The sequence below is a fragment of the Homo sapiens genome, chromosome 10 (assembly GCF_000001405.40).
Source record: "Homo sapiens chromosome 10, GRCh38.p14 Primary Assembly".
Lineage (NCBI taxonomy): Eukaryota > Metazoa > Chordata > Mammalia > Primates > Hominidae > Homo > Homo sapiens.
Genome location: NC_000010.11, coordinates 1,287,566 through 1,301,118, shown reverse-complemented (window position 1 = coordinate 1,301,118; position 13,553 = coordinate 1,287,566). Strand labels below are relative to the sequence as shown.

At 50.0% G+C, this 13,553-nt stretch overlaps 1 protein-coding gene across 1 annotated transcript in view, besides 2 other annotated features; it reads left to right on the top strand.

Annotated features, from left to right (window-relative positions):
* Positions 1-13,553, top strand: part of ADARB2 (adenosine deaminase RNA specific B2 (inactive)) — a 560,213-nt gene that overhangs the window by 436,407 nt on the left and 110,253 nt on the right. The gene's annotated exons all lie outside the window — the stretch shown is intronic.
* Positions 6,626-7,535: an enhancer, noted in NCBI's record as "H3K27ac-H3K4me1 hESC enhancer chr10:1335779-1336688 (GRCh37/hg19 assembly coordinates)". NCBI's record gives its function as "activates a minimal SCP1, AML or CMV promoter by ChIP-STARR-seq in naive H9 embryonic stem cells {active_cell/tissue: H9 hESC(naive)}" and the evidence as "EXISTENCE:reporter gene assay evidence [ECO:0000049][PMID:30033119]".
* Positions 7,850-8,748: an enhancer, noted in NCBI's record as "H3K27ac-H3K4me1 hESC enhancer chr10:1334566-1335464 (GRCh37/hg19 assembly coordinates)". NCBI's record gives its function as "activates a minimal SCP1, AML or CMV promoter by ChIP-STARR-seq in primed H9 embryonic stem cells {active_cell/tissue: H9 hESC(primed)}" and the evidence as "EXISTENCE:reporter gene assay evidence [ECO:0000049][PMID:30033119]".

The following is a 13,553-nucleotide window of genomic DNA, read 5'->3' as shown; positions in this document are numbered from 1 at the left end:
ATTCCTCAGTATTTTACCAAGAGGAGTGAGCTTTCTGACCAGTGCTTATGTGCCCTGTATTTGGTCAATTCCTCTCAGAACCAGTGGTTTTTAAGTGGGAGATGACACCACGGTCCGGCAATAGAGTGGACACCAGGGCCAATTCAGCTCCTTGATCACTGATCCCAGAAGCATGTCACAACCCTGACAATCACAGCAGCATCTTACATTGCATATTGCTTTATCTTCTAAGCACCTTGGCCTACATGTCCTCTCTTTTGGCATAGTGACCACATCAAGGTGAAAGAACAAGTGGGGTTGTAATATCTCATGGATGAGAAAAACAAGCCTCCAAGAGCAGGGTAAATGATTGCCCACAGCCAGACAGTGCATGGCAGCAGATTCACATCTGTATGTTTTGATTTTAAATCCAAATCCCTTTTCAGTGAATATTTACTGAGCATCTATGAAGCCCACGAGGAATTTTAAAATGAGGAAGATACAATTGCTATGCTCAGGGAGGCAGCTAAAGAAGCATTTTGAACAGGTCTTCAGTAAATATTCATTGAACGAATGAACAAATTATACCGTGTCATGAGTAACATAGGAAAGATATTTTTAAGTGTTATAGGAGCACACATGGGGGGAATTGATTAGTGGAGGAGGAGGTGTCTGTGTGAGCCCAGCAATGTCAGGAGGAGAGGCGTGGGGGTGCCCCAAGGAGAGGTGGTGTGGGGGGCGTGGAGCTGGCATCAGCCTGGCTGTGTGGTGTGGTGTGAGAGGCTGGGAGCAGCCGTCACTGTAGGAACAGGAGGGGATGTGGAAGAACCATCCCTGCTGCGAGGGCAGCCTTCAATGGGCATCCATCTGTAGATGCCATTATACCTGCATGTGAGAAAACTTAAGCCACCAGCAAGGCTAAAAGGGTTTGGAAGGAAGACAGATGAGAAGCAGAGAGACTACTTAAGAGGCAACTATGATAGTTTTTATTTTTAAAAATCCCAAAAGCACCAAAACAGGGAAGGATCTTTAAACAGCTGGAGGGCAGAGTGGGAAAATCTCATCCCTGCGAGATGAGACAAGTGTGGTGGGTACGGCCAGGATGGTGGGGAACCAAGGAAAAGGACCTCTGCCTCCAGGGTCCTCCACCGGGCCCCCCTGGTGAGGTAGGTAACTCCAGCATGTGGTTGATGGCCAGGCGTGAAGTGGCCGTTAGGACAATGAGCCACATTCAAGTAGCAACTGCACTTTATTCACTTGGAGACACAGAGCAGGGAAGAGGCCAGGGTGTCCGCATGGCCTCCGGAAGCACAGGGGACCAGACTGTGGGACCCTCTCTTTGCCCAGGAGCCCAAACCAAAGGCTGCTGCTGCATCGTAACCCAGGAGGTCAGGAAGCAGAAGGAGGCGAAGCCCAGGGGCAGAAGAGTCCCTAGTCTGATGGATGAAATGTCCTTAGCTCCACGTCCTACAGAAAGCTGCTGCACCAAGCCGTGCACCAGTGTGGGATGGGAGGGCAGCTTCCCCATGAGGTCTGCAGGACACAGCCTCATCCTCCTGTGGTCAGGGCTGAGAATCTCACACAGGCGATCAGCCAGGGCAGAGTTCTCATTTGCATACCGTCCAAACTAGTGGATGACATACGGGGCTGCACACTTAAAATCACCAAAGGAGTCACTGCTTGCGACTTAAAGTGACTCTAGAATTTTCTAATGCCTGGAGTCTGCTAGATCTTCACCAGGGGCAGGGGAAGGACACCCCTGCTGACATGTGAGGGGCAGTCCAGGCTGGGGCTGTGGCCACGTCCACGTCCCCCAGTGAGGCAGGTGCCCCTCACACTCTACGCACACTGGTTCTGCACTTCCTGGCTTTTGCAGGCAGGCTCCTGATGCCTTCCGGGCTCTGCTTGTGGGTTTCCCCATCTGGGGCCCCTTCGTGACTCCCCAGATTAGCTGGGGTCCCTGTGATCTGGTCTCCTAGTCACTTACGCTTTCCTTCTTAACACACAAGACATTTAAGAGCATGTGTCTTCCAGCTGGCTTCACTATCATCATAAGGGAGAATCATTATCCAACATCAAATAAAAATGGCATTGTGGCTGGGCACTGTGGCTCACACCTGTCATCCCAGCAGTTTGGGAGGCCAAGGCAGGTGGATCACTTGAGCCCAGAAGTTCAAGACCAACCTGGGCACCATAGTGAAACCCCATCTCTACAAAAAATAAAAATAAAAACTTAACCGGGCATGGTGATGCACGTCAGTGGTCCTAGCTTCTCGGGAGGCTAAAGTGAGAGGATCACTTGAGCCCCAGAGGTGGAGGCTGCAGTGAGCCAAGAGTGTGCCACTGCACTCCAGCCTGGGCAAATCTAAAAAAAAAAAAAAAAAAAAAAAAAAAAAAAAAAAAAAAAAAAAAAAAAAAATTCCCGTCGCACATGGGATAGTCGGCAGCATTGCACTGCACTCTGCAGTGGGGCACGTGCCCTTGAGGGGAGCTCCTGCTTGAGCCCAGTATGTGTCTTCTCCATCCACGTGTGTCCTGTTTCTTCCAAAAAAGAGGCCCTTCCTTGCCTCAGTTTGGCTACTGCCTGTCTCTATGAAGTCTTCTCTGGGCTCCCTCAAGGTGAATTTTGTGCATACCATCCTGCCTAGGTTTTAAGCGCAATAGCATCTCAAATATAGGCTGTAAATTAGGTGAAGGGAAAACCTCACTTTCAATAGACAACATCTGCTCAGCCCTGGGATGTGCCCCCGGGATCACCCAGAGCAGACTCCATGGAAACCCTTAAGTCCAGCCACTCCAAAAAACCTTCCTTGGCAAAAAAACATAAAAACATAGCCGGCTGTTTTCCCCAAGCTGTGTTTACAAAGCCATTGTGAGAAACTTCATTTTGTCTTTATAAACTTGTGTTATTTTTTTCAATAGCATCTACTCCCTACATTTTAGTCTCCCGGAATGACAGATCTCTGTCCGTTTCGTTTGCTGCCTGGCATGTGGGAGGCACAATGGAGACAATGTGTGTGTTTCTGAAATGAATAAATGACAGAATGGTCCATTTTTTGCTATCTCAAATAGGAGGGAGGGAAGTGGAAAGCAAGGCTGTGTTTGTGAGAGCTCCTCAGCCGCTACAGCAAGTGAGCACACCCAGGTGGCTGAAATGACAGAAGTTTATTCTCTCAAAGCTCTGGAACCAGAGCTGACCTCCAGGTGTGGGCAGGGCTGGTTCCTTCTGATTCTAAGGGGCATCTGTCCCACCCTCTCTCCTGGCCTCCAGCCATGGCTGGGGATCCTCTGCCCCGGGCTGCGGCTGCATCCCTCCAGCCCCTGCCTCCATGGCTGCTGCTGTCCTGGCTGTGCCCGCGTCTCTAGACTGGGGGAGTTTCAGGGCTTACCGAGGAAAAAGGTGTGCCCCCCGGTGGCAGGAGCGCACACAGGCTGTATGAGGCTGGCGCTTGGACAGATTTGCATGCAGGGGCATCTGTCATGGCCTAAGACTGTTCCAAGAGGAGAGGAGGGCAAGGGAGCTGCTGGGAAGAGGGGTTCAGAGGGGGCTCCTTGTCCAGGCGATGCCACGCAGCCACCCTCGGGGGTCTCTGGGTCAGAGGGCTCTTCGGGGTCTGAACGGCCAGTGGTCTTATAACCACAAGGCCCCACCTTATCAGTGGGGAACAGCTCTATGGTAAGGTTTCACAGGGAATGCCAAGCAGGTACCATTTCAACGGCTAAAAATCTGCTTGTTTGGGCTATTTTTAAAATAACTGGATGTGTAAAAACTTGAGTTTGGCTCTGGCAAGCTTTGAGCTAATGGGGCTCAGTTGCAGTGAAGAAACATAACACCTGCGGGTCCATAACCACGGCTGACGGGGGCTACGCCTCCCTCCATACCCAAGGCCGACGGGGGCTACACCTCCCTTCCTCCCTGCGATAAAGACACCAGTCCCTGGATTTAGGGCTTCCTCTAAGGCCAGGATAATTTCGTTTCTAAATCCTTTACTAATCACATCTGCAAACACCCTATTTCCAAATAACATTATGCTCTGAGGTTCTGGGTAGACCTAAATTTGGAGGATACTATTGAATCCAGGATACTTATTTTTGTTTGTGTTTAGATAGGTATTTTGTATAGGAGGAAAAGAAAAGGAAAACACGAAAGATTACACAAATAAAATACTGGAGAGATGGGAGTTAGAAAAGACAGACTGTTACTGCCCTGAAGGCAGCGGGCAGGACAGCACCGAGCATCTTAGCAAGGAGCCAGGCTGGGAGCAGAGAAGGAGTGTATTTTTTCTGGCAGTAAGGAAGGAGAAAGGGATGAGTGAAAAAGGAATTTTGCAGTAGAAATGAGGGTGGCTAAAAACTACTCTCCCATTTTCCAATTATGTTGTTGAGCTTAGAACACAGACAGCAGGGCCTCCTCCTTTCCACACTTGATTGTGTCCCAGGAGTTTTGGGGTCATTACATATGTTGTGGATAGAAAGATGCTAAATGCAGAGAGTCCCAGGCAAAGCTGCAGACAACCATCCTGACCCCTTCCCCCTGCCCTCCCCCAACGTTTGTGATGGAGCACTTGGCCTTCTGTACTCCACAGCACCACAGGAAGACTCCCATGCACCAGGCCTGTCCCTCAATTCTCTGCCGCCAGTTAGGTGTCTCAATGTGGCAGTTGTCTGGAAAAGCATAGAATACGTTATGGAATCATCAGTAGCCAATAACCATTTCAGTCCTGTCCTCCGATAATGGGGTTAAGCAGCATCTCTACTGTGAGAGACCAGCAGTGGGGAATGAAAGCTTTAGTACAGACTTCCTGGAGCCTTCACATTTTTCTACAGTCTGCACACACTAAGCTGTTGAGATGGGTTAGATTACAGGTCAGTAAATATTCGCCTTCTCTCCCTCCTCTGTGGAGGGAACATACTTTCCCCTCCCATTCATGTTTGTCTTACACGTGGATCCTGCTTAGGCCAGTGGGACTGGAGGGTCCCAATAAGCAGAGGTTTGAAGTTCACTTGAGCAGGTGGACTTGGACCCTGGCACATCTGCCAGCACCATGACAGGAAGGGGTCTCCAGAGGGGCTGATCCAAAGGGAGTTGCACATGGAGCGGGCCTGACCCCACAGCACAGCTGGAAGCCAAGCTGCACAGGCCAGTCAATATCACCCCACCCCAGTCCAACCACAGGCTCCTGAGTGAGGAGCAAATGCTTGCTGACTGAGCCGTTGCGCTTGGGGATGGTCATTACACAGCAAGAGCTTACTGCTGCACCACACATAGGCCACCTTTTCCTACTACAGTCTGTGAATCAACAGGGTCTTAAAGAAGCTGTACTTCTCCCATATTCAATGATATTAGAGATTATTTTCTGAAAAATATTTTGAAAGAATAAAATAAAACCATTTATCATTATTCTGTATTTTAAACTTAGGTAATTCTAAAAAGCAAAAATTCTTAATGAGACCCTTCATGCATTCTGCTATTTCTGATCTCTAAATAAGTCAGGATTCTAGAGGCAGATCCAAAATCGTATCAAGAGAGGTCATTGAAGAAACAGAGGCGCACACGTCAGCTCAGAGCCCAGACTCCCACCACCAGAGAGAGCGGCACTCAGGGTCCTCTTGTCCTCCCTGTCCGTTGTACTCTTTCTCCTAAATTGCATCGGACATCTCTGATGTTGTCCCCAACATTTCCTGGTGAAATTGTTATGTTCTATCTGATTATCACCTAAATGACTTAAAGAGGTCAAAAGTGCACAGCAATCCACTTCAACACATGCCTGGGATGTAAATACCTGTAACCCCAGCATATCTTCCTGCACCGAACTCTCACACTCTTCCCAAGATTTTGCAGCACCTTGAAGGTCATTTCTTGGCTTTTAGCTCCTCTGATGTTTCTCTCCCACATCCCATGTCACATTCACACTCCCCAGGCCCCATCAATCAGCCAACCAACAGCGACAAACGTCATATGTCGAGCTCTGCACCAGACATAACGCCATGACCTCAAACAGAAAGGCCTTGTCCTGGCCTTCCTGGAACACCGGCATTTCCACACCTGAAGTGAGAGGAACACACGTAATGAAGATATTCAACATGTTTCACCAGGAAAGGATGTGGGCCGTTCCCGCAGAAGCCAGCTGCTTACCTGCTGCCAGTGACTCCGCACTCCAGCTGCACACAGAAATCTGCTTTGACAAACAGAGACATCCTGGCCCCAGCCCAGGCATCCTATCACAATTGGTCTAGGTCGGGGCCTTGGCAGGGGACAGTTTTTAAATCTCCCCAGGAGAATACAATTTGCAGGCAGGGCTGAGAGCCACCACTCCATGCTGTGGGCACATGGGTTGTCAGAATTGGGTAGCGCTAATTAGGGCTGGCATCAGGGGAGAAGCAATTTTCAACTCAGGGAAGGAGATGGCTTGACTGGAATTCCATCACAGGTGTAATAATGAGCTCAGCAAAGCTTTGACGTTGGGGGCAAGATAACAGAAAGGCAAGGCAGTGTGACCCAGCGGTTACCATCGCTGGATGGGGGAAGCGAGACAGTCATGTCAGAGCCGGAGAAGTCCTAGGGTCGACATCACTGGAACCCTCTGCTTGGTTATCAGTCAAACAACGCGAGGGGCTGCTGCCTTCTTCGAGAATCAGTTTCCCCAGCTGTAAGGTGAAACGCCATCAGGTGAGTCAAGGGCCCATCAGCACACACTCAGAGTGTGCAGCTGTGGCTGACAGAAATGAGGAATTCATCCTCACACTGAAGATGGGTAAGTGAGGAGCCACGTCACCCCGCCAGGTCCCAGGCATCACAAGTCTTCCTGGGCCTCTGTTCTTGCACACACACTGCTCATGTGAGCCTCAGCCATCTGCACATGGCTGGCATCAGAAATGGAATTTCTCCAACAGAACTGCAAGCACACCCCGATGGAGAGATGTGGCCACCACAGAGCTGATTCTATCGGCAGTCACTCATCTTCAATGGTGGAAAAGTTGAATTCTTCCTCATCTCAAATGATCTATTCTCGTACCCACTGCAGCTGATTTTCATCCATCTCCTCCTCACCCTGCAGCCCACCTGATGGAATTCCCATTCATGGGAAGTTCTCTTCTGAGCTTGCTCTAAGTTTTTTCTTTGTTTGCACTTCCAGATGACCAACAGCTCCCCCATGCCCCCGCCCCCCTGCAAGCCACAGATGCTGTCTTTTGTTTTGCATTTCTGCTGCGAGAAAGACATTGCCCTGCCGACACTCCGAGAGGCATCAGTGAGTAAAGTCTGTTTTACAGGCTGCAAAGCCATCTGGACTTTCTGCTGAAAAGGTTGGACATGGTTTTAGGCAAGATTTTTATCACATCTGAGAGGGAAGAAAAGCCTTGAATGCATTACCATCTTCCGAGGTTGGTGTCAGATTTATTTCCCCTTGTCAGTTGCAAAACAAAACAAAAAGAGATGACATAGAAAGGAGTGGGGAATGAAGATACACATCTCCAGAGGAAGCTTTGTCAAAGGTAGTGGAGGATAAACAAAAAATAAATTAGTTTTGGTTTTATCAGAAACTGGACAGACTTCCACTGGTATAATAGTTTGTCCAGCATGACTGAGCCTTTCCAGCGAGAATGCCCTGAAAATGCAAAAGAAAAATCGAGATGCTCACAACAGAGGCAGAGATTTGCTTTCTAAAACTGATTAATAGCTTTTAAACACACACAAGAAGAAAGGCAGAGGAGGACGGGGCTAAAACAGACCACATGAAGAGTAAAACTGCTTTGAAATCTCTCTCTCCTTCCCTTCCTCCCTCCCTTCTCTTTCTCCCTCTCTGCCCTCTTCCCCCACCTCCCTCCCCTCTCTCTTCCCCCTTCTCTCCCTGCTCTTTCCCTCCCTCCTTCCCTCCCTCTGTCCCTCTCCCCCCGTCCCTCTCTCCCTCCCCGTCCCTCTCTCCCTCCCTCCCTCTTTTTTCTATTCCTGTCTTTCTCTCCCCCTCTCCCCCCTTCTTACCCTCCCTCTCCCTCTCTCTTTCCTTCCCTATGTCCCTTTCTCTTTCTCTCTCCCCCCTTCCCTCCTTTCCTCCCTTTCTCTCCCTCCTCTCCCCCCTTTCCCTCCCTCCCTCTGCATCTCTTCCTGTGTCCCTCTCTCTCCCCTCCCTCTCTCCTTCCCTCCCTCTCCCTCTCTCTCTCCTTCCCTCCCTCTCCCTCTCTCTCCTTCCCTCTCTCCATGGAAGGATGTTATGTATCTTAGCAACAAAGGCTTTGGATTTTCCCCTCCAGTTACTGACAAGAAACCAGAATGATTTCTGGTGTCAGAAACCTTCCTCGAACAAGGAGCTTTCTCTGGAGAACAGGCTCCGAGCAGCCACACGTCATTCGACCTCTGTTCCCCGTTGGGGTGTCCTCAGGCCAGGACATCCTGGCAAGTGGGCCGTCAGCGGGCAGTGGCATCGCAGCCTCAGCCGGGAGACCCAAGTCACTCCTCTCAGAAGCGCGGCACCCGAACCACCTCTGTTCATCACATTTTGTCCCGTGGAGCAGTGACAAGACCCAGCAAGATTTCATGGCGACAGAACTTGAAGGTTTCAGGGCGACGGAACCTGAGAGTGATACAGACATTTTGATTCCTGGTGCAACAGGGTATGAAGAAAACACATACCTAATTTTATCGGAAAAGATATACTGAGTGTCTATGCATGCTGTGATTTGAAAGAAAATCACTCAGTAGAGAAGGGCCTCAGGTCACAAGCCTTTTGTCTAAGTGAGGGGGATAAAAAGGCTTCACAGTAGAGTGACAATTACTAATCCTGCGACAGTAATATATGCAACTTTTAAATTTTTTTCTAAACATTTATTTTGTGACTACTCTGTTTCAATGCTCCCTGGGAGTGAAAAACAAGATTCTAGCCAGGTGCGGTGGCTCACGCCTGTAATCTCAGCACTGTGGGAGGCTGAGGCGGGAGGATGGCTTGAGGCCAAGGAGTTCGAGACCAGCCTGGGTCACAGAGTGAGGTGCCCTCCCCTACCCACTCCCAGACTATCTGGAAACACCCAGTGCAGACAAGGTCAAGTCAGCTTAACACACGCACGCCGATAGTGGTGAACGCTGCTTTCTGAGCGGCTGGCGAGGTCAGTCTTAGGAAAGTTGGTGGCAGACGCGAACAGCCCCACTGGAATTGGTAACTTGGAAGGCGCAGCTCCACGGACACAGCCACGATATGCCTTCTGCCGCCACACAGCCCCTGACCTGCCGCAGTGCCAGGCATGAAGCCTCTGCCCAGCCAGGCCTCGGGGTCCTCTCTAGGGAAACACAGGCTCCTTCTCCTCTCCTGGCTTTCTCTAGGCCCTCCAGACACCAGATGGAAATCTAATGGAACCCACACACCATGCATTCTGCAGGGCTGAGCTCGGCTTCCTCCAGGACACCACAGGAGCCGTCTTGGTTGCATGTTTGTCCAAATTTAAAACTTCACCCGGCCGAGGTGGGCCATCTGTGGCTTCGTCTGAGATGCTTACTTTTCGCAGGATTTTCTTGGAGCTCTGGGACCTGGTGGGGCGCTCACTCCATGCAGTTGCTTTCACTCCACCAGGGACATCGGGTATGTAAATAAACAAAAATATTGCAGGATTGTGCAGGGAACACAGCATTACAGAGGTGCTGGTGGTTTTGCTGTGAGGAGGGAACATGGACCAGAGGACTGCGTTTTCTACACACACTGAGCTGTGAAGGAGCTCCGACCCCGCTCCTCTGGGAGCCTGCAGGATGCTCAGCAGCGGCACCCAGGCTGCCTCAGGGACCCAGGTGCATTGGGAACAACTTGGCAATTTTCATCCACTGATTTCTGTTCTCCAGATCCTGCTTTCAGGATAGGGAAAGACTCAGGGGCAAAGTCATGGGACAAAGAGGTCTGAGGGCCCCCACCTCTGTGGCACTGGAGGCCTGTGTAACATCAGCCTCCCTGGTGATTTTGCAGAAGAGGGGTTGGCGTTCCTTAGATGCTCACTTAAAGGCTTTTCTTGAATTTAACAGAAGCTGGGAAGTAAATATTACTTTCTTTATGAAACAACTACTTTTTCCAAGGGAATCTCTTTCTCTAGATGGCCTGAAATGATTCTTCTGGTTTTTATCTTTTTAAATCCAGATGAATGCAAATAACCATGAATCAGCCCCAAACGGAGGACCTCATCTGTTTGCACCCTCATGTCAGCACACAAATGAGAATTTAAAGATCCTAATTAAACCCGGGCTCAAAATATCTTCCTGAGTAGACCAGAAAGCACCAGTTTCACAAAAAAACAGAAATATGCATCTTCCCAATGTGGTTTTTAGTTTATTTTCTGTGTTTTAATGGTATTCAAATTTGAAGTTGATTGCTAAAGCAGTAACTACCGTTAATGTGTGTAAACAGATTTGTGGATATTTAACGATTTAGGAAACTGTGGACGACTACTTTACATAATCAACAGGTAGACAGACAGATGTCAGCACACACAACCGTCAACCCTCAGTTGCTCAAGGCTGAATGTGGGATCTCTCATCTCAGGCTTGTTTGAAATCCTCAATTAGTGAAAAGCCCTTGGAAGGCACCTCTAACATTGTGGTCAGGAGCCCAGATTTTGGAGCTAGAATTTAAACATAGGGATAGGGATTTCATTCCAAGCATCCCACCAACTGCCTGAGCCTGTGTCAGCGAGCCAGCCCACCTCCCTGTGCTGATTGTCTCATCCGTGCAGTGGGGGTGTGGACACCTGGTCCTGGGGACCCCAGCATCTGGCTTCAATGTCGATGTCCTTCCGCCGACCAGGAGGGAGGCCCTTCTCCACTCTGCTGCAGGCGTGGGTCACCTGTGAGTCCCTGCAGGCCTCCACTCTCTGCTGGAGGTGCCCGTGAGCTGGACAATGGCTGGGGCTGATTCATAAAATAAACAACAACATGCAGAGGACAGAATCCACTTGTCAGACATGGGGGAAAAGGTAGTCAGCTCCTGACCTTGCAAAGCCTCAGGCACCAAGAGAGACTCAGCCTCGTATGACTCAGTCCCTGCTTTTGCTCTATACAGATCCTTCATTTTAAAGCCGTATTTTCTTCATTTTCCCTAGATGGATTCTTTACTGTAACTAATTATGTCGGATTAAAACATGCTAACAACACAAGACTGAAATGCCTCAATGTCTGTAACCCTGGAAGTTACAGCTGTGCTCAGCCACCAGCCTATGTATGCCGTGTATGTGCCTATGTATGCCGTGCCTGCTCTAACGCATCTCCTTGCACACGTGGGAGGGCCTTCCTGCCGCAGGCCAGAGGCTATTGTTTGGCGAACGCCTACCTGCCCCTCCCTGGTGTGGAACACGCCTGCTCCTGCGTGCTGGCTGTGGCACACCCACCGTGGAGTGAAGGTCGGGCGGTCCCCCCAGGGGCTGGATCCTGTGGGCTGTCTTGTCACCCAGCAGCAATGCGTGGTATGAGGCCTGCATAGACCAAAGCGAGGGGCAGAGAGAACGGGTCCTGGCCACGGAGCCAGTGAGAGGAAGCAGGAGGTGGGCAGTGGGAGGCCCAGGCCTGGTTTTCCACCTCAGAAAGTGGGATGGGTCTGCCCGTCAGGAGCACCCTGGTCTGTCCCACCCAGCAGCCGTGGCAGACTCGGGCTTCCTGACGGTGCCGTGGGCAGAGGCCTCCCCCTGAAGGCCTCCTCCTCCCTCTTCCAGGTCCCCAACGTGAACCCAAAAGTATCTGAGACAAGCCTCAACCAATTTAGAAAGTTTATTTTGCCGAGGTTAAGGACACACCTGTGACACAGCCTCAGGAGGTCCTGACGCCATGTGCCCAGTGTGGTCGGAGCACAGCTTGGTTTTATACATTTTAGAGAGAATTGAGGCATCATTCAATACGTGTAGGATTGACATTGGTTCAGTCTGGAAAGACGGGACAACTCAAAGCAGCGGCTTCCAGGTCATAACATTTTTCTGATTGGCAATTGGTTGAAAGAGTTATGATCAGTAGAAAGGAAGGTCTGGGTTAGGATAAGGGGTGTGGAGACCAGGGTTTGACCATGCAGATCTCTGGGTAGCAGGCTTTGGAGGGAACAGATGGTCACTGTTTCTCATCGGACTCAGGTCTTTGTTGATGTTAAGGCTGGTTGGCTTTTCCTGAATTCCACAATGGAGGGAGGTATCATGAGGCATGTCCGACCCCCTCTTCCATCATGTCTGAACCAGTTTTTCAGGTTAACTCTGGAATGCCCTTGGCTGAGAAGAGGGGTCCATTTGGATGGTTGGGGGGCCTTAGAATTTTATTTTTGGCTTACACCAGCGTTTAGACAACCGCGTCACATGTCAGAGTGCCTCGGCATCCTCTGTCAGAAACCCCTATTCAGGGAGTGGGGAAAGGGCTTAAGACCCACAGAAGTACCCCGTGGTCTTGATGCAGGTGGCTGCCTGCCTGCTCCAGGAGTTTGGGGGTCATTCTCCTACCCCAATTCATCTAAGAGGCAGCATTTGCCATGGCAGGCCTCCTACCTGCAGGCTCATCTCATCTGAGGGTGGGAGCTGTGACCAAGGCATCTCTTCTCTCTCCTCAGCGTCTCAGAGGCAGCACGCATTGTGGGGCCTCATGGAACTAGTGTGACTTCCAGACCCACAACTTACTGCCTGTGTGCTGGGCAAGGAGTTTTCTTTTCCTCAGCCTTGGCTTGTTCATCTGTAAAACAGGACAATAATCGTAACTGCCTCTTAGGGATACAACGGGGATGAACAGAAATGACACTCGCTGTTACTTGGAAGAGCACCTGCTATGCAGTCAGCCCTTGAGAAATGTCAGCTGCCATTTATCACATGGTATTTTGTGTTTCCTGTTTCGTATTCTAGGCTGCTTTATGTAGAGGACCTTGTCTTATTTTGCCCTGTATTTCATCAGTGCCTTGCACAATAAATTCTGATTGATTCTTTTCCCCGAGGGACAGGGATGGGGGTGAAATAAAAGCAGAAATGCTTGAGAACTGGTGTCTGTGACGTTCTGGGCATGGCCGAGCCTGTCTGCAGTCAGGGCTCTGACAGACACCCCCTCAGCTCCTTTCAGGCTTCCCTTTAGGGTAGGGCTTCAGAGACAGCAGTGCACGAGCTGACCCAGAGGCAAGCGTGCTTTGGGGTGGGGGCCCACCATGCACACTCAGTGGATGTTGTGATTGCAATGAGGAGTGACACTGAGTCCTTGTCCTTGGGCATCCAGTCTGACGAGGACAATGTTTGTGTCAGCAGTCACAAAATAACACACCCAAGCTGTGAAATCAGAGAGGAAGGAACGCTTAGATCAGAAAACAATGCTTAGAGGGCCACACAGCCGACGGCATAACTCCAAAGCACACTAACTTAACCTTTGAATGTGCTGTTGCCTCAGACTCTAGCTTCCAATTTAAACAGAAATAAAGGTACATGTAATTAAAGAGTGAGCAGGCAGTTTCACTGATGAGCATTTCCTCACCAAAAATAGACTGATGATTTCACTAAAAGTGACTAAATGGAACAGCTGATATATGTGTAATTTCCTCCTAAGGTTGGCTTTGGGTCCAAAATCTACCCAGCATCTATGTGCATGGCTGCAGAACTCT